The sequence below is a fragment of the Homo sapiens genome, chromosome 9 (assembly GCF_000001405.40).
Source record: "Homo sapiens chromosome 9, GRCh38.p14 Primary Assembly".
Lineage (NCBI taxonomy): Eukaryota > Metazoa > Chordata > Mammalia > Primates > Hominidae > Homo > Homo sapiens.
This window is the reverse complement of record NC_000009.12, coordinates 89,460,034-89,479,483: the sequence shown is the minus strand read 5'-3', so window position 1 is coordinate 89,479,483 and position 19,450 is coordinate 89,460,034. Positions and strand designations below refer to the sequence as shown.

At 48.2% G+C, this 19,450-nt stretch overlaps 1 protein-coding gene and 1 pseudogene across 43 annotated transcripts in view, besides 7 other annotated features; one reads left to right on the top strand and one right to left on the bottom strand.

Moving 5' to 3' along the window:
• SEMA4D (semaphorin 4D) overlaps nucleotides 1–19,450 on the top strand; it is a 137,327-nt gene that overhangs the window by 18,630 nt on the left and 99,247 nt on the right. For 10 of the 43 annotated variants that reach the window (XM_047422624.1, XM_047422620.1, XM_047422629.1 and 7 more), the window contains exons 2-3: nucleotides 3,934–3,999; nucleotides 4,861–4,945. The exons of 27 other annotated variants lie outside the window; for them this stretch is intronic. The gene's annotated coding sequence lies outside the window, so the exon portion shown is untranslated. Of the gene's footprint in view, nucleotides 1–13; nucleotides 4,000–4,860; nucleotides 4,946–19,450 lie in introns of those variants that run through there. 6 more of the 43 variants (XM_011518133.3, XM_011518128.3, XM_011518127.3 and 3 more) reach the window with 2 other exon arrangements.
• LOC124902324 (ubiquitin-conjugating enzyme E2 variant 1-like) lies at nucleotides 4,303–7,247 on the bottom strand (annotated as a pseudogene).
• Nucleotides 7,689–8,190: an enhancer, noted in NCBI's record as "H3K4me1 hESC enhancer chr9:92086209-92086710 (GRCh37/hg19 assembly coordinates)". NCBI's record gives its function as "activates a minimal SCP1, AML or CMV promoter by ChIP-STARR-seq in naive H9 embryonic stem cells {active_cell/tissue: H9 hESC(naive)}" and the evidence as "EXISTENCE:reporter gene assay evidence [ECO:0000049][PMID:30033119]".
• Nucleotides 8,762–8,851: an enhancer, noted in NCBI's record as "active region_28546". NCBI's record gives its function as "activates an Ori minimal core promoter by ATAC-STARR-seq in GM12878 lymphoblastoid cells {active_cell/tissue: GM12878}" and the evidence as "EXISTENCE:reporter gene assay evidence [ECO:0000049][PMID:35858748]".
• Nucleotides 11,114–12,077: an enhancer, noted in NCBI's record as "H3K27ac-H3K4me1 hESC enhancer chr9:92082322-92083285 (GRCh37/hg19 assembly coordinates)". NCBI's record gives its function as "activates a minimal SCP1, AML or CMV promoter by ChIP-STARR-seq in naive H9 embryonic stem cells {active_cell/tissue: H9 hESC(naive)}" and the evidence as "EXISTENCE:reporter gene assay evidence [ECO:0000049][PMID:30033119]".
• Nucleotides 12,447–13,142: an enhancer, noted in NCBI's record as "H3K27ac-H3K4me1 hESC enhancer chr9:92081257-92081952 (GRCh37/hg19 assembly coordinates)". NCBI's record gives its function as "activates a minimal SCP1, AML or CMV promoter by ChIP-STARR-seq in naive H9 embryonic stem cells {active_cell/tissue: H9 hESC(naive)}" and the evidence as "EXISTENCE:reporter gene assay evidence [ECO:0000049][PMID:30033119]".
• Nucleotides 13,143–13,839: an enhancer, noted in NCBI's record as "H3K27ac-H3K4me1 hESC enhancer chr9:92080560-92081256 (GRCh37/hg19 assembly coordinates)". NCBI's record gives its function as "activates a minimal SCP1, AML or CMV promoter by ChIP-STARR-seq in primed H9 embryonic stem cells {active_cell/tissue: H9 hESC(primed)}" and the evidence as "EXISTENCE:reporter gene assay evidence [ECO:0000049][PMID:30033119]".
• Nucleotides 15,028–15,087: an enhancer, noted in NCBI's record as "active region_28545". NCBI's record gives its function as "activates an Ori minimal core promoter by ATAC-STARR-seq in GM12878 lymphoblastoid cells {active_cell/tissue: GM12878}" and the evidence as "EXISTENCE:reporter gene assay evidence [ECO:0000049][PMID:35858748]".
• Nucleotides 15,598–15,667: a silencer, noted in NCBI's record as "silent region_20009". NCBI's record gives its function as "represses an Ori minimal core promoter by ATAC-STARR-seq in GM12878 lymphoblastoid cells {active_cell/tissue: GM12878}" and the evidence as "EXISTENCE:reporter gene assay evidence [ECO:0000049][PMID:35858748]".

Below are 19,450 nucleotides of genomic sequence, written 5' to 3'. Positions count from 1 at the left end.
GGGATACAGGGGCTTTGAGGGGATCTTGAGGGTGAGGCTGCCCAACGAGGACGGGGCTGAGGTGTTGAAGTAACAAACACTGAGTTAGAACTCAGAGCAAATCGGAAACAGCTGGTGGCTGAGCTGGGCGAAAAGCTGTAGTTTTTAAAACATGGTGGCCAATCTCGCCATTGCTGCCACTGAGATGCAGGGTGTCTGTCCCCTTGCTGTGGATCTGGGTTACTTCCTGACTGCCTTGATTGGTGGAATGTGGTGGGTGTGAGGCTGAGTGACCCCCAATGTGGCTTCCCCATTGTTCACCAGGATGCTGGCTCTGGGAGCCCTGTGATGCCAAGGAAGGAGTTGGCCCTTTGGCAGCCATGCTGTGAGGAAACCCAAGCTCCACAGGCAGCCATGGGAGCTCCAGTGGGCAGCCCTGGTATTCAGTCCCCTCCACTCAGGGCCCTGATAAGTGAGGGGACAGGCCTTCCAAGGACTGTAGCTGTAGCCCTTGGTAATTAGGTGTGTCAGCTTTGGTGTCCTTGGACATTGGAGCAGAGATGAGCTGACTGAAGCTGGGGCCCGCTGAGGCTCCTCACCCACAGAATTGGGAGTGTAGTAACATGTTGCAGGCTGCTGAGTTCAGGGTAACATGCAACACAGCAGCAGTGACAGGAACAAAAGCGGTGGCTGCCCAAGGAGGGGGAAGGAAGGGCCTTGGGGTGGGGTGGGGTGGGGTGGAGGATGAGGGGGCCATAGGACTCAGGTTTTGGGTGGGAGAGTGGAGTGTGAACAAGAGGCAGACCCCTAACAAGGGTGCAGTGAGGATGATTCATTTCATCTCATTCCGCACATTTTCATAGTCTGTGTATTGGGGGCTTTCTTGCTTTCTCTGTAAATGAACCATGAAGGAAACAATCCCTTTTCATAGGCGCACAGGGGACATAGGGATGAATGTCTGGTAGCTGCCATAAAAAGTACCACACACTGGGTGGTTTCCAACAACAGAAACTTATTCTCCCAGTTCTGGAGGTCAGAAGTAAAAATCAAGGTGTCAGCAGGGCCACACTCCCCTGAGGCTCTAGGGGGGCCTCCGTCCTGCTTCTTCCCTCTTGTGTGGCCCCAGTGTCCCTTGGCTTGTGACACATTGCTCCAGTCTCTGCTCCAACATCACATGGCGTCTGCGTCTGTCTTTCCCTCTGAGTGTATCTATAAGGGCACTTGTCCCTGGATTTAGGGCCCACTCAGATAACCCAGGGAGATCTCATCCTGAGATTCTTACATCTAGAAAGACCCTTTTTGCAAACAAGATTGCATCTCTTCAACCTGTTACAGCACACAAGAAGGCAATTGAAATACTGCGCGGGCTGAGCTGGTGGCCCTGGTGGGCGGAGACAGGGCTGGCAGGCTTTCACCTTCTCCAGGATATATTTCAGCAGGGCTTTATCAGCAGGAAAATGGAAACCACAGCTGCTTTTTGCCTTTGTGGGAAGCTGTAGAAATAAGAGTACAGTGGAAACTCTCTGCTTCGTAAAATAACTTCATGTTGACTCAGAGGGGAAACAGGAAAGGTGCCTTCTATCTTTTTTATGCGAGTTTTTCTCTCTGTTGGTGGGGCCTTTGCTTTTAAGGAGTGTTTCTACAAGAATACTTGTTGGATATTTAGTGTGAACAGGAAGTAAGATGTGCTGACTAACTTTTCCATTATTTTAATGGCATTTTTATTGCTCAGAAAATGAAGACAGAAAGCAAAGAGTGAACGCTTTCATTGTGCTGGGTAAATGCCATAAACAACCTGCCTTTCTGAATTTTTTTCTCTGCGATTTTCAGATGCACACACATGCGTGCATGCATAAGTACACACACATCCATAGAGGGGGTGTTTCCCCAAAGTCGCGGTCATGCCACGCAGAGGTATGCACCTTGCTTTATTTGCTCACCACTGTGTCATAGATGTGTATGTTCTGCAGTGTGCTACGAAGCCATGTGTGCCCTTGTGTGTGCTGTGTGTCCCTGGGGCCTTCAGTGGAGGTCTCTCCAGTCTGCCACACCCTTGACTGTTTTCCTTGGTGTACATTACTCTTGTCAAGGCATTGATTAGCAGGACATGTGATGGCCCCTGTGAATGGTGGAGCCCAGAAAATGAAATTGGCAGTGTTTTAGTAGGCCGTGTGTGTTTGTGTGTGTGTGGGGGGGTGCATGCATGTGTGTATGTGAATGTGTGTGAGCATTTGTGTGTGTGTGTGTGTACGTGCATGTACCTTGTGCATATATGCATGTGTGTGTGAGTGCCTGCCTGCACATGTGTGCTCATAGGTTCCAGAATAGCAGTGCACAGCATGCTGGAAGTCTGCATTCTGGGAGAGTTTCTTGGATTTAGGAGTCTCTTCTCATTAGGAGGCTTACTGAACTTATTTTACGGAAGTCTTAGTTGTATTTTTAGCCAAAAGATAAAACTCGCCCCACTCTCCTCCATGCCTCCAGCTTGTCTAAAGTGAAATGGCCTGGGGAGAATTTGACATGGTAGTACAGTGATGTGGTGTGTTTCTCTGGGGTCAGATATGTCGGCTCTCCTATCCCTGGACAGGTCAGCCCAGTATCCCAGCCAAATATTGTGTATGTGCCTAGATCCTTCACAGGCATGACTTTTTGTTGGTGCCATGTGGTCATGGGGGCTTCCTTCCGCAGTCAGGTTCTGCTCCGAAGTGGGGATTGGAGGCATCTCTGGAGCCTGGCGTGATACCTTTGCCATGTCCCTGATTGATTGTGTCGGTCAGGGTCCCCCACAGAAGTGAAACTAATGGGTGTGTGCATGTGTATGCGTGTGTAGACATTACAAGGAATTGGCTCACCTGATTGTGGAGATGCCACGAGTCTAAAATATACAGCAGGCTGGAGACCCAGAGAAGAATTGCAGCTCAATGGAAGGCTGTCTGGAGGCAGAACTTTCTGCTCTTCTCCTTGGGGGAGGTCAGCCTGTGCTATTCATGCCTTCAGCTGATTGGATGAGGACCACCCTCATTACAGAGGGCCATTTGCTTTACTCAAAGCCTCTGCTTTAAATGTTGATCTCATTAAAAAAGTAATACCTCCACAGAAGTATCAAGAATAATGATTGGCCAGATATCTGGGTACTGTGGCACAGCCAAGTTGACATGTGACATCAGCCATCACACTGGTCAGTGCTCCCCAGTGCACGGGCCCCGTGGCATGCTATGTTTTATAAACCAGTGTGGGCCCTAGGTAAGGTGTGTGAGCTTGCTCAAGGTGTATTGTATGAAGGTGTTGCCCTGCTCCCAGAAGCCTGCCCCAGAGCAGGCAGGGCTTGTTATTCTTGCCCAGAGATCATCGGGCCAGCATGAGGTGGCCGAAGGTTGGCACTTCTTACATTCTAATGGCACCAGGAGCGAGGTCCGGGGCCTTGTGCAAGCTGCGCTCACACCTCAGCCGACCTTCTGCTTCTTAGGAAGGTTGCTTCATTCCGGTCACCACTGGCCCCATATTTAAGCATCAGTAATACCTTAGGTGCCTCTGGGGACCATTCCTGTTGTCCTCCTTCCAAAAACTGCTTCATTTTCCTTCAAAATGTGACATGGCTTGGACATGCTAGAGGCATTTATTAGCAGAAAGCCTGGGAGCTCTGCCTCCATGATATTTTCTTTTTCTGGGAAAAAAAATATTTGTGCAAGCCATGGTCATATCATTGTTTCCCGCTCTCTGTGAGCCTGCTGACATTGGCCTCCCGTGTGCCTGGCGTGCTCTTATCAGACCTGTGTGCCATCCTGTGAATTCTACCGTAAACAGTCACAGCGAGGCGGGAGAAACACAGCCTGGTGGTCCACGGCAGGCTTGGTCTGGACTGGATGGGAGCTGCCTGATGGATCAGTAGGGGAATGCAGAGGGGTGCCAGCTCCAGGACTGGTAAAGGTGGCTCTTCTCTTTCTTTTCCATCAGGTGCAGTGTTGGAGTGAATGAATGATTGATGGGTGAACAAGTGAGAGAGTGGAGCTGGTCACAGAGGTAGGAGGGACTCAGGTCACTGGCCGTGTGGTGGGAGTGGGGAGCTGAGCCCATGCCAAGGCTGTGACCCATGGACCAGTCCTGGTGTGGTTGGGCTGGCAGGAGTGGGTGTTTGTTCCTGGGACTGGTGGTCAGCATGTGTCCCCTTCCCTGCTTCTCACTGGCTGAGGCTCAGGATCTGGGGGCCCAGCAGGCCCCTTCTGGCTCCCAGGTGGGTGGGGACATGGGTCTCAGTCCCACCTGCTTTCAGGCCCTTGGGGCTTCCTGCCCAGCCTCTGTGACACTGGTTCTCACAAAGCCTGGTCATTCCTGGCAGCCCAGGATGGCCTCCAGGTTGTGGCTGGTCTGTCCTCCAGCTGCAGGTTCTGCAGGTTCTTTCTCATCCTGCACCTCGACCCTTTTCCCCAGGAGAGCCTCCTCCGGGGTGGGCCCGGAGCTGGGGAGAAAGAGGGGTCTGGTGACCACATGGTGCCAGCAGGGCAGCTGTGAAACCCTCCCTGTAGCCCCAGGCACCCTCCTCAGGTTCTAAAGCCAGAGCTGCTGCTCTCAGAAGTGCTTTCTGGGACTTTTCAGGGTGGGACACCAGGGGCCTCTGCAGCAGGGACCCCTATTGCAGGGGCTGACAGTCACAGACCTGAGAGCAGAGTCTCCGGTCTTGAACCCAGCTTGGCCTTTCTCTACGGAAAGGCTTGGCCAGGAGGAACGTGGTGGTGTGGGAAGAATCCGTCTGGCTTTTTTCTCTTCTTTGAGGGACATATGTCTGTCAGGCAGAAGCTGACATGTGTCTGTCAAGCTACATGTGTCTGTAGCTTGGGGGAGAGTGGCTTAATATTTCATGTTTTAGCCCTTGTCCTCTTCCAGGGTGGGCTTGAAAACGATAATGAAGTGTACACACTGAAAAAACAAAAATCACCCACGGGTTCTGAAGCTCAGTGGAGTTCTGCAGGTGAGTTTTAGTGCTTCTGGTCATACAGAGAAAAACTCATGTAAACGCAGTTTACGCAGGCTATTTAGTTGCTGCTTTCATCTGTGTATACAAAGGAACATAGCTAGTAATTAAGAACATGGAGGCATTTGGATCTGTTTATATTTTATTTGTCCACTGTAATCTTTGTGATGTTCTTATTTGGATTCGAATGCTGGTGATTGCTAAACTCAAGCACAAACACAGGGTTTAAGCGAAGGTTAATTATGGCTAAAATGCTTGCGATGCACAGGGCTGGGTAAATGAGTCAGGCTGTGTTTATCTTCGGGGTTTATTGGTGCCAGGTGTCTAGAAGCAGCAGTTTGAATTTGGACATCTTTGGAGGGAGGTTTCTTGGCAACCAAAGGGGGAGGTGGGAGGACTTGAGCCCAGAACTTGGTGCCATGCATCAGCAGAGTGGCTGGAACTCCTTTGGGCTGGGATGGGGACCGTGAAGGCAGCCCTTGGGGGACCCAGAGTGCTGCTGTGGGCATGGTACCCGTCTTCTCTCTGTCCTACTTCTCTGGGGGATGCCTGGGGAGGACCTGAGAAAGGGAACTCAAATTTCTGTCACTGATTGACCAGCCTGGAGTCTCTGTAGCCCTCTGACTGTCTGCCTTCACTTCTTTCTTCTTTTTGTTTTTTTGTTTGTTTTGTTTTGTTTTGTTTTTTGAGATGGAGTGCATTGCCCAGGCTGGAGTGCAGTGGTGCAGTCTCAGCTCACTGCAACCTCTGCTTCCAAGGTTCAAGCGATTCTCCTGCCTCAGCCTCCCAAGTAGCTGGGATTACAGTCATGTGCCACCATGCCCGGCTAATTTTTGTATTTTTAGTAGAGACGGTTTCACCATGTTGGGCAGGCTGGTTTCGAACTCCTGACCTCAGGTGATCCACCTGCCTCGGCCTCCCAAAGTACTGGGATTACAGGCATGAGGCACCATGCCCGGCCGTTGTTTTTGAGACAGGGTCTCATTCTGTCACCCAGGCTGATTCCCTGCAACCTTGAACTTCAGTCCTCCCATGTCAGCCTCCTGAGTAGCTGGGACCACAGGTGTGCACCACCATGCCTGGCTAGTTTTTAAATTTTTAGTCTACTAAAACCTCATCTAGACCTCTAGATGAGGTCTTGCTGTGTTGCCTAGGATGGTCTCAAACTCTGAGACTCAAGGAGTCGTCCTGCCTCGGCCTCCTAAAGTGCTGGGATTACAGGCGTCAGACCCTGTGCCCAGCCTTTGCTCCTTTTTAAGGTTTGGGTCAGCTCCGAATGGAGCACTGCTTGCTCAGGCCTAGGATGTTTTGTTGTTGTTGTTGTTATAGCACAACTTACATATTTCAAAATGTAGTATCATTTACAATATCTTAGGAAAAGTGGCAGATATCTTACAGTATCTTAAGATAAGTTGAATGAGCGCTTCCTTTCCAATACTTTATTTGTTGAGACAGGGTCTTGCTCTGTTGCCTAGGCGGGAGTGCAGTGTTGGCTTACTGCAACTTCAACCTCCTGGGCTCAAGTGATCCTCCCACCTCAGCCTCCTGAGTAGCTGGGACCACAGGCGTGTGCCACCATGCCTGGCTAATTTTTTTACATTTTTTATAGAGATGGGGTCTCACTATGTTGCCCAGGCTGGTCTCAAACCCCTGGGCTCAAGCACTCCTCTCACCTCAGCCTCCCAAAATGCTGGGATTACAGATGTGAGCCACCATGCCTGGCCCTCTCCAGTACTTTGAGGTCTACAAGATGTATCTAGAAAATTTACTACTGTGGGAAATGAAGACTACTTAAGTTGAATGGGGGAAAAGGGGAAGGGCCTGGGGTTTTTCCTTTTGATTAACTTGTAACATTGGCCTTCGCGCAGCTGAGGAAGTTTCATATATTCCATAGACATCATTAAGCACCGACATCATTAGGCCCAAAGCTCTTGCAGGACATCTTTGAATGCTATATGAATTCTGCCGTTTTGCTAGCGGTGATTTGGCTCTTGGGTCCACCATGTCGTTAGGACTGTTAACTCCACTCAAATTAATTTTTGTCACAAATCTTACAAAAGGGGGGTGCTTCTCAGTGTTTAGGTCCACATTCTATTTTAAGGCTGTATATTTGGCTTTCATAAATTGTTCTTGGATGCCCAGTGATCATTCCTGTCCATCTTGTAAGTGTCTTGTCTCCATCATCTTCTCAATCCCAGCTAACTTTGCCATCTCCTCCTCCTTTCTGGCCTTCATCGAGTTCTTACGACAGTCAGAAATTGCGAAGGACTTTTACTCCCCAGCCCTTGGTGGCTGCCATCTTGTGTTCTTTACCCTCCACCAGTGACTTCACCCTTGGGATGTGTTTTACTTACTTTTCAGTTGCCTCTTGTGGGAAGCAAAGAGCATGACTCTTTTAAAGTCAGAAGGATTGTGCAAATTGACCCAGGACCTCTGTTTCACATTTAATCACAGAATTAGAAGCCCCTATTCCTGTGTGCACCTAAGCGGGCATGCACCCGAGCTGGCATGCACCTCAGCCTGTATGCATCTGAGTCAGCATGCACCCTAGCTGGCGTGCACCTCAGCCTATATGCACCTGAGTTGGTGTGCACCTGAGCTGGCATGCACCTCAGCCTGTATGCACCTGAGCCAGTGTGCACCCTGTCTGGCTTGCACCTCAACCTATATGCACCTGAGTTGGCATGCACCTGAGCTGGCATGCACCTCAGCCTGTATGCACCTGAGCCAGTGTGCACCCTGTCTGGCTTGCACCTCAACCTATATGCACCTGAGTTGGCATGCACCTGAGCTGGCATGCACCTCAGCCTGTATGCACCTGAGCCAGCGTGCACCCTATCTGGCATGCACCTCAGCCTATATGCATCTGAGTTGGTGTGCACCTGAGCTGGCATGCACCTCAGCCTGTATGCACCTGAGCTGGCGTGCACCTGAGCTGGCATGCATCTGAGCCGGCATGCACCTGAGCCAGTGTGTATGATAAAGATTGTGAACATCTGACATGAAGCACAGCAAGCTGTTGACAGTGATGTTATCTGGAGAGTGTGGTGGGGAGAGACTTTAGCTTTTTGCTTTTTGAACTTCTTTTATTGTTTTATTTTTATACAAATACAATTTTCTAAATCTATTCTTGTGGAAGAACATGAGTTTTTACAATTGTGGTAAAATAAACATAAAATTGATCATTTTAACCATGTTTAAGGGTATAGTTTAGTGGCATTAAGTACATCCATATTGTTGGGCAGCCATCACCACCCTCCATCTCCTGAGGTTTTTCATCATCCCAAATGGAAACTCTGTACCCATTAAATAACTCCCCAGCCCTGATTCCCCTTTCTGTCGCTGTGACTGACTACTCTAGGGACCTCCTATAAGTGGAATCACGCAGTGTTTCTCCTTTTGTGTCTGGCTAAAAATAAAGGTATTTTAAAAGACATTTCAATCAAATTGGTGCAGTCATTTTATTTTGTTTTTCCTTTTCCTTTACTTTTAAAATTAATACACAGTAAGAATGATTATCTCAGTGTGCATTTCTGTGAGTTTTAAGACATGTGCAGATGGTGTAACCACGACCACAGTTAGAATACAGAGAAATTCTATCCTCCAAGAAAACTTCCCATACCATCCCTTTATATTCAGCTCCCTCCCAATCACTTATAACTGCTGAGCTACTCTTTGTTCCTATAGTTTACCTTTTCAAGAATGTCATATAATGGAACCACGCAGTACATAGCCTTTTGAGATTGACTTCTTTCACTCACCACTGTGCCGTTGAGGCTCATTCCAGCTGTTGCAGGTATCAATAGTTTGGTTTTTTTTTTGTCCCTCGGTAAGTCCATTGTGTGTTTGAACAGAACTGCTGTAAACATTTGTGTATGAGCTTTTCTATGAACATGCGGTTTCATTTCCTTTTGATAAATGTCCAGAAGTGGGATTGCTGGGTCATATGGTCCGTGTGTGTTTATTCTTATAAGAAACTGCCCAAGTCTTTTCTAGTGTGGCGGTACCATATTACAGTCTCACCAGCCACATCACTGTGTACCCTTACCAGCACCTGGTATTGTTAAGTTTTTTCTTAAGCCATTCTAATGTATATATAATGTGCTCATTGTGGTTTTAATTGCATTTCCTAGTGGCTAATGATGTAAAACATCTTTTCATGTGCTAATTTGCCATCTGTGTATCCTCTTTGGTGAAGTATCTGTTGAAGTCTTGCTCATATTTTAATTGAGTTGTTTATTTTCTTGATATTGAGTTTTGAGACTTCTTTATATATTCTAAATACAAGTTCTTTGTCAGATATGTGATTTGCAAATATTTTCTCTCAATCTTTAGCTTGCCTTTTAATTCTTTTAACAGCATCTTTCACAGAGCCAAACATTTTAATTTTGATGCAGTTCACTTTATCAATTTCCCAAATGTTGATAGAATCCATAGAAATATGACCACTTTTATGTTGTTGATCTTGGACCCTCTTGACTTTGCTTAACCTCACTTATTCTAAGAGCTTTTTTGTACAAAAAGAAATCCTTGGAATTTTCTACATAGGCAGTCATGCTGTCTGTGAATAGTCCATTTTATTTCATTCTTTTCAGTTTGTGTGCCTTTCCTTTCTTTTTCTTGCCCTGTTTCTTTAGCCAAGACTTCTGGTGCAATGTTGAGAAGTAGTGAGAGCACATCCTTGCCTTGCTTCCGACTTTCGGTGAAAGCATCTGTCTGCCACCATGAAATATGATGTTAGCTGTGAGTTTTCCATAGATGCCCTTTGTCAGGCTGAGAGAGTTCCCTTCTAGGTTTAGTTTGCTGAAAGCTTTTATCATGAATGGATGTTGAATTTTTTAAATGCATTTTCTGTATAAATTGATATGCCTGTGTGCTTTTTCTTCTGTGAGTAGGTGGCTTGCATTTATTGATTTTTGAACACTGAGTCAATCTTGTGTTTTGGAATCAACTCCCTTGGGCTGTGGTGCATTATTTTTACATATTACTGGATTCAGTTTGCTAATATTTGGTTGAGGATTTTTGCATCTGTGTTCATGAGGGGTATTGTCCTATAGTCTTCTTGTAATGTCTTTTTCTGGATTTGCTATCAGGGTAGTGCTAGCCTCATTTAAGTTGGGAAATGTTTTTTCCTCCTCTATTTTCTGGAAGAGAGTGTATGTAATTGTTAGTTTTACTGGAAAATTCTACCAAACATGTAAGGAACCTATCTCTGAGCCTTTTCAGATGTCTTTTTCAGAAGGTATTTAACTACATATTCTATTTCTTTCCTGTTTATAGTATTGCTCAGGTATCTATTTCATCTTGTGTGAATTTTGGTGGTTGGTTGTTATTGAGAAATTTGATCATTTCCTCTAAGTTGTTGACTCTTTGTGCACGGAGTTGTTTGCCATGTTCCTTTTTAATGTCTATGGGGTCTGTAGTGATAACATTTCCTTCTTTCCTGATATTGGGAATTGGGAATGTATTAACATATGAGGACCTCAGGGCTAGTGTTTTAAATGCAGCCTCTGTGTGGAACCAGTCTAATCAGGACTGTAGTCTGTAGTCCTAGGTATTACCAGATTCTTATGGGGCTGGATTCCCTTGGATTACATGGTACCCCTTGGGGAGCAGCAAATGAGGTGCCTTAGGAGGGACATTAAGGCTTTTAAGCCCTGGGGTAGCCTTTGGTGCCTGAGTGGTAAGTTAATAGGAGCTACCCCAGTGACCTGCAGGACTTCAGTGTCTCTAGAAGTTTCAGATTGCTGCCCCCGAGCATTACACAAGCATTACACACCGGGAGAATCTGGGCAGCCTTATACCAGAGTGAGAAGAAACCCGCAGCCACCACTTAGAGGGGGGATGAGATTTTCACCACTTTTCCAGGGTGTTTGAGGTGATTATTCTGAGTGGCGTGTTGATAGGTACTGATTTATTTATGTTTTGTTTATTTCCAATAAAGGCCACAAATTAGCCTGTTTGAAAAACCCAAGAAAAATAAGGCCAAAAGGAGTGGTATGTTTTTAGAGTGATGTTTAAGCAGAGATTGCTTTGCCGTCACTTTTTATTTGGTGAGTCAGGGACTGAAGACAGTTGACGGTGTGTCCTTCTGAACGCTCTGTTGTCAGCTTTCATCTTAGGTCATAAAGTAGACATTTTTTCATTGATGGACTTTGGGGAATTTGGTTCCTGACCCTGATATTGTAGCATCTTCCTATGTGAGGGAAAAGGTCACAGTTTTGTAGTGATTCTTCAAGTGAGATTAGTTTTGCTTCACTTAATTAAAAAATCTGTGTCATGCTGGGGTTTAAAATAGAGTGATTTATGAGCAATAAAAAGAAAATAGATTTCTGCAAATGTGGAGGGTTTGGAAATACCTGTTGCAGGTGGAGTGGAGTGGGGTTCTGTGCAATCCCTGGAGCCATCCTATGGCGCTGAGTTTTCTCAGTGATCAAAGTCGTTTGGATGAGCAGGCCTAACACCACGACTACCCTAGTCTTTCGGTGTCTTCTCGCAAATGATTCTCTTTGGACAGGCTGACTCTCTTTCTGCTGCAGGGTTGTGTAACGTATGCATAAACAGCTGGCTAAGCACCTCCAGCCCTGGGAGAGCCCTTGGGGCTGGGAGGGCTGCTCTCCAAGCCTGAGGCTGTGGGACATGCCACTGCCAGCTCTCCCTGCTTCTGCTGTGGGCATATCCTTGCAGCAATTTATAAGAATCATGAGGCTGGGTGCAGTGGCTCACGTCTGTAATCCCAGCACTTTGGGAGGCTGAGGCAGGTGGATCACAAGGTCAGAAGTTCAAGACCAGCCTGACCAACGTGGTGAAATCCTGTCTCTACTAAAAATACAAAAATTAGCTGGGCGTGATGGTGCGCACCTACAATCCCAGCTACTTGGGAGGCTGAGGCAGGAGAATCTCTTGAACCTGAGAGGCAGAGGTTGCAGTAAGCTGAGATTGTACCACTGCACTCCAGCCTGGGCAACAGAGTGAGATTCTGTCTCAAAAAAAAAAAAAAAAAATCATGCGCTCCCAGGTGTGGTTCCCCCTCCCCCACTCCCCCGGATTAAACAAATAACACATTTCCTGTAAGAAGTTCAGGTAACTCAAAGGAGGAGAATGAAATCAACTCCTCCACCATGTATGTCCTTATGTAACTGATGGCCCTAGTCTCCTTTGGGGCTGAATTGTAGGAACCGGATGGCTGTGAACTCAAAGGATGCTGTGGTATAGGGACCTCGGAGGGAGCATCAGATGTGTGTGTTTTCACAAGGTCATCCAGGTTCTACGGTGTAAGGAGCCGGGAAGCTGGGGATGTGAGGACGTGAGGAGAAAGGGTGGGCACGTGCTCATACAAGTGCAAGGGCCGTGTACCCATGTCCTTGTGTGGCCACCAGGAAGGAGGCAGGCATGATACACGAGCTGGGACAGGAGTGCCCACATCTAGTCATGGAAACTTTTCAGCCTGAACAACAAGGGGGACAACCCCCGTTAACTTCACACATGGGGCTGTGAATGCTGCAGATGAATAATTCAGTTTCTTTCTGGGAGGTTGGTGACATTTTCGTTTCTGCTCTGGTTGCTTGTAAAAGAGTAACAGGGCCCTTTTTGGGCCTTGCATTCTGGAGCTGGTGGCTCAGAAACTTCTAGTTATAGAGTAACAAGACCACTGTGGGGAGGGAGCAGCATCCTTGAAGGAGGCTCCGATAATGACATCAGGCTCGTATTGGTCATCGTCATGTGCACTCCGAGGTGAATGCTTGTGACCTGGTAGCCGCCTCCCTGCTGCACACAAGGACAACTCACTGGAAACACAGTCCATGTAGGCTGCAGACCATGTTTCCATGTGCTGGGTTTGGGTAATAATTACTGTGTACTAATTGCAGTGGAAAAGTGGAGTTGGCTGTGCCTTGAGAGTGTGCACATGCAGGTGAGTGATGCTTCTGGAGCATGACCTTGTGCACACGGGGGCTGTGTGCTCCCTCGATGATGCACTGCGTATGGTCTAGACAGAAAGGTCACTCACAGAGGTCATGGGCAGCCCTCGGTACATATGGAGAGCAGTCAAGCATGTGTTCACCTGGCCTGTGAGTGTTAGCGTGTCCCAGGTGTTGTAGGTGTGGATGCCTGGGGAAAGCCGGAAGGGAAAGGCCCCAGGCAGCCCTCTGTCTAAGGTTGTGGATTCTTAGAGGTGTTCGAGGAGCCCAGAAAGAATTCCAGATTGGCAGAAAGAAAAGGCGTTTCTGAAAATGAGTCTGCATCACTACGTGGGAACTCAGAGCGGAGTGATCACCCTATTTTTTGTACAAGTCAGGGGAAATTATGTTTGTGTGTGTCATTGAGCATTTCGTGTGCCTGATCCCTTGGTGTGTGCCCCAGGAGCTGCGGCACTGTGCTACGGAAGCCCCTAGCCAGGCCAGGGCTGCAAACTGCCTGGCGTGCACCCTGTGTGGTCCTGCCCCTTCATGGTGCCTTGGACACCTCGGCTTCTCACTGTGTCACATGGTGGACCATCTCCTCAAGCCCCAGTGCTCCAGTGAGCCCACCTTCCCCCCTGCCTCCAAGAAATGCAGGAGTCACTCCTGACACCATCTCTAGACACACCTTATTCTGCAGCATCACCTTCCCATCGGCTAAAGCTGGTTTCCTCCTAAACCTGTGGACTCCATCTTCTCCTCATTCCACCTTGGACTTGGGCATAGGCAGCCTTTGAATGGAGCACTGGGGCCACCCAGGGCTCACCTGTCTTTGTACAGCTCTGTAAGTCATAGATATCCGAAGGCAATGCAAATAATCCTTGTCCCTAGACGTGCAAATGGGTTCAGCCTCCTGGAGAGACAATTGACTCCCCATGGAAAAGGCTGGTATTGTGTCCGTTGGAAATTCATGTCAATATTCTTTTACTCTGTATTATTTTTTTCTTGAGGTGAAATTCACATAACATAAAGTTAATCATATTAAAGTGAATAGTTCCATGGCAGTTAGTACATTTGCAATGTTGTGCAACCTCTAGCTCCAAGACATTTCCAGCACCCCAAAAGGAAGCCCCCTAATTATCAATCCATCATGGCCCAATCCATCCCCATTCCCCCAGCCAACTCCATGTCTTTTTGTGATTCTTTGACTTCCCCTCTGAAGGGATTGTGACACCTCCTTGGTTCTCTTGTGAGTGATGATTTAATAATGTTTTTAATGCATGGTCATTTTTTTTAAGTGACCCGTTAGCAGCCATCACCCCTGGGCTGAGTGGCCAGCAATCTCACCGGATGGATGGTGCTGGTTTCCTGGGGACTTAGGCCCCTCTTGTCTGTTCTCCGCGGGATGCACCGGACTAAGGGCTCTTTTTAAAGTGAGAATCTGGTCATGGAGGGCAAGGAGGAACATTCTGTGGGCGGATCTTCCCAGTCTTGTCTGTGGGTCTGAGCCAGCGTGAGAGGCTCTTGGGTGATATGTGGAAATGTGCCCCCTTCCTGGGCTGGTCCTCTTTGCCCCTGACAGGTTGGTCAGTGAGTATTGGTTAATTATTGTGTGCTCAGTGCTTTGTAAAGCATGCGAGATGTTTATAGCTATAGAGAGGACATGGTGTCAAAAACAGAGATGCATCCAAATAAAGCAAGCAAGCTAATATAATTTAGAGCCAGCATATGCTTGCATTAGAGATGTCACTGTGGGCTGAGCAGAGAGCAGGACCCTCGCCCTGGGGGTGCTCTCCGCACCCTCCCCCCACACCCCGTGGTAACTCAGGCTTATCCAGCCCTCTCCAGGAGGCGGGGGACCCCTGCAACCCTGCCCATTTCCTAATGGACCCAAAGAATGAGGATGTGGTTTTTGTCTAGCACTCACCTCTCTGATGGTTGACCTCTGTGACTGCCTGAGTTGCTGTCAGTTTCCCCTGGGGGTGCTTCACTCTGGGGAGACCAGTGGGTTTTGAACCCTGTCCTCAGTGTCCCTGTCCTCTTCTTTGTTCCCATGATCTTGCAGGGAGAGGACCTGTTGCTGCCCTTCCTAGCTGGGGTGTTGCACCCCACATCTGAGGGGTCTCTCCTTATTGATGAACTCCTGTCTTTTCCTGTCCAGATCCTGGGCATTGGGGAGGTGGCCAGAGGCAGCCTGGCTGCGCCCTGCTGCTGGACTTGTAATGTGTTGCCCCCCACCCCCAACTGTGGCTGCCTTGCCCCTGAGGTCCTCAGCCCCACCCCAGCTGTTTATAATCATCCGAAACCCAGGTCGGAAGGCAGGATTTCCAGCCATTCCTTTTTTCTCACAGGTAGCATCTTGGTGAAATAATTCAATTTACAATTAAGTATTTTTGTTTTACATCTTCAACATGATTAGAACAAAGTGTCCTTGGTCCCTGAGAGCGTAGTGCATCTGAGAGAAGAGAGGAAGAAACAGGCTCACAGTGCGGTTTTGTGGCAGTTTTCTTGGGGGTGGGGGAAGGTGAGTCACACTCTCCATTTTTGACTGGTGTTCTGATTCTGAAATTTAAGAAAAGCACATAGAACCCCAAAAGCACGTGTCTAAGGTGGAAAGTGGAGAAAGTGCCCCCATGACTGCAAGGGTTGAAGTTAAGCCTTTGGCTCTAGTTGGCACGATTTGGTTCTTTTTTTTTTTTTGTCTGAGACGGAGTCTTGCTCTGTCACCCAGGCTGGAGTGCAGTGGTGCAATCTCGGCTCACCGCAACCTCCACCTCCTGGGTTCAAGCAAGCCTCCTGCCTCAGCCTCCCAAGTAGCTGGGATTACAGGTGCCCGCCGCCACACCCTGCTAATTTTTATATTTTTAGTAGAGATGGGGTTTCACCATGTTGGCCAGGCTGATCTTGAACTCCTGACCTCGTGATATGCCCGCCTCAGCCTCCCAAAGTGCTGGGATTACAGGCGTGAGCCACCATGCCCGGCCCACCATTTGGTTCTTTAAACACAACATAGAGACCTTGTGTTGTGAATACACTTTGGAGACTGGTTGACGCTAATTAGTTTTGTACCTCCCCACCTCTGCTGCGAAAATGAAAAAGCAGCAGCGAAAAAGGGCTGGTCATGACCTGGATGAGAAAGAGCAAGTCTGGGACTTGATCATGAAAAGCCCCCAAGTAGCCCTGCTGAACAGATTTAGCACCTGGGAATGGACCCCTGTCTACGAAGAGGACCAGATGGATCATGCAAAAGATGGCTGGTGTGAGCCTCAGGTAGATTTTTAGCTCAGAAATGAATGGGCTTGGTTAATAAGCTGGGTTAACCATGTTCCACTGTGGCTTTCCCACTGCAAATGCAGGGAGCAGCTATTCAAAGATTCTGAAAAGAATATAGTAGCAGGTGGTTTGGAGAGGAAGATTAGAATTGCAAGTATTCCTCAACTGGGCATGAGTCTACCATTTTTCCCCATCTGGTATTCCCCAGTCTGAACTCAACACATTGGAAACCTGGAAGTGGGTACTGGGATGCAGAGAAGAGAGTGCCAGAAGCCTTCTAGGTTTGGCTTAAGGAGTAGAAAGGAACATTCTAGTGTTCAGAGTACAGACCCTTTTGTTCTGTTTCCCTTTTCTGTGTTCTCTTACATGCCTCTCTTTCTCCCTCGCTCCCCTCCCCTCGCTCGCTCCCCCCTCCTTTCTTTCCAGCACAGTCTTGCTCTTTTTCCCAGCTGGAGTGCAGTGACATGATCACAGCTCTCTGCAGCCTCAAACTCCCAGGCTCATGTGATCCTCCTGCCTCACCCTCCCAAGTAGCTGGGACTACAGGTGCATGTCACCACACCCAGCTAATTGTTTTTTATTTGTAGAGACAGGCTCTCACTTTGTTGCCTTGGCTGGTCTTGAACTCCTGGCTTCAAGTGATCCTTCCGCCTTGGCCTCCTAAAGTACTGGGATTACAGGCACGAGCCCCTGCATCTGGCTGGGACAGCTTTAAATAGGAGGTGTTGTTGGCTTGTTGTTGTTTTGAGTTGTTTGCCGTAGACTGGTATTGGGGAATTTTTACTCCTTCAAATTGAAAACATTCCATCATTTTGCCAAAAACAACCCCACCTATTTTGTACAGAAAACACAGCTCTCCTTAAGTGGGTATGCCACAGGGAAAAACATTTCCACATTTTATCAGCCGGTTGCCTGCCGTTGCTCACATCAATGTTGTTATAAAGGAAGAGCATTGGTGGCCACTTCCCTTGGAGCCTGCTTCTCTGTAGAAGCTAGCCTTATGGGCTTTTGTGCCATACGTTAATGTACAGATAATAATCTTAGTTACTGTGAATTATAATAGCACCGTATTTAAATTCTGGACTGAGTTAGCCAGATGATCTATACCTGTGAGAAATCAAGTTTCAAGAATTTGCAGTGCACTCACACCAAGCGATTTCTGGCATTTCTTTCTGGGTGTGCAGACCACCCTGGGCAGAGAGGGAGTGATTTTAGCTTCACGTGCTTCAGTTAGGGATTCAGCAAAGCCTGAGAATTTCCCTTCTTAACCCAAACCACGTTTAATGCATCACTAGGAAAAGCAGGTTGGTAAAACTCATCCTAGCCTTAAAATTACCCATTTGTTGTTCAAGAAATATACATCAGGCCAGGCACAGTGTCTCATGCCTGTAATCCCAGCACTTTGGGAGGCCGAGGTGGGCAGATCATGAGGTCAGGAGTTCGAGACCAGCCTGACCAACATGGTGAAACCCTGTCTCTACTAAAAATACAAAAATTAGCCGGGCGTAGTGGCGCACGCCTGTAATCCCAGCTACTCAGGAGGCTGAGGCAGGAGAATCACTTGAACCCGGGAGGTGGAGGTTCCAGTGAGCCGAGATCGCACCACTGCACTCCAGCCTGGGAGGGAGAGCGAGACTCTGTCTCCAAAAAAAAAAAAAAAAAAAGAGAAAAAAGAAATACACATTGGCCCTAGGATTCAGGCTTCCCAGGACTCTGGGGGTTTATGATGTCCAGGACACCATGATTTCTGTTCATATGCTACTCTCCTAGTATAGGAGAAAAATGTTTGGAGGTTTATTCTGGCAGCCTTCCTGTGGTGCCCACACTTGTCCTGGGAGGGCAGTGAGTCACCGTTGCCTCCTCAGTTGTCAGGACTCAGAACTGCAGCCATTTGCTCATAGCCATCCATGTGAAAGACGCAAACATACAATTTGGAGCCCGAGTGCTGCTTTATCTATTGACGTGCTTCTCTCTGTGGGGGCGCTTTTCAGTTTCACAGTCAAGAGTATATGGGGTGAAACGTTTTGTTGGGATTACCGGTCCCAATTTCTGCTCGTTGCTGATAGCTAAGAGGTACCCTTGTAAGGTTCCTGATATCCCTGGCATGCTGCTTGCTAGAAAAGTCATTGACAGCAGGGAGGGGCTCACACTTCCACACCACCTTAAGCCTTGTAATTATTTTTTCTGGTCATTTTGTAGGGGGAGAGTGGCATCTTGCTTTAATCTGCATTTTTCTGACCTCCAGTGAGATGCACATTTTCTTTCGTGTGTTCAGTTGCAGTTTGCAGTGATCTTAGAAAAGAGACCTTGGGGCTTCATGAGTGTGCTGAGGGGCCCAGCAGAGCCCCCGAGCATGACTGTAGGATTAGGTGATAGGGTTGTCTGCCCTGGGAGCCCTTTCTCTCTGCTGCGGGGTGTGGGGAACAGCAGGTCGCCTTCTCCGTCCTCCCCTTCGGCATATGTGGTGGCCACATATGAGGCTAGGTGTCATTTTCAGCTGGCCCTGCTAAGCCCTGCCTGTCTGCAGGAGGAGGGCAGCTTACACAAAATGCCCAGTGTGCTGAGTTCCACGCTGGAGGGCATGGGTTCTCCTGGGCCTGTAGGATGCCCGTGTCTGTGAGGGGTGTGGTTCACCTTCAGTGTTGCTTCTCCCCTTTTTCCTTGCTCTGCGGCCTCCAGGACCAGCTGTGCATGTGAGGCTGGGGTATCTCTGACATATTCTTGAGCCGTCTCATGAGCAGTGGGTCTGAACCGGTGGAACCTCGGTTAAACATGTGAGTACCGGTCTTCCAGGAGGCAGAAATCAAAGCTCTCACCTGTGCATCCATTGCATGAGTGTGTGACACATTTTGGAGTTTCAAGTTGTTTGTAATCAGTAAGCAGTTGTCAAATATAAAACAAATCCAGACTTAGTAAGAAGAGGCTTTCTTAGGAGTATGCAAAGGAAGGAATGGACTGTCACAGTAGGGGCCAGGGCCTGGCCACATGCTGACCATGAGATCACATGTGTCTGAAAGGTTAGGCCAAAGGGCTTTTCTTTGTAGGGTGGTGTAGATGAGGCTTCGAAGAACCAGAGGTGGGATATGGGATGAAGGTGGCAGGGTCAAAGGATGCCTTACCCAAGGCCAGCTGTTTCTCAGGAGGGGCTGCACTGGCTCTGTGGGACCCAAGGGGCCTGGAGAAGGACAGAAGCGAAGCAAGGTTTGGTTATGAGCATTTTGTTGTGAGTGATCGGGAGCAGGCGGGGGATGCATCGTGCCACTGGCCATCAAGAGGCACAGAGCAGGCGTTGGTGGGTTTCTGTGTCTGGCCTTATCCTGGGTGGGTGGGG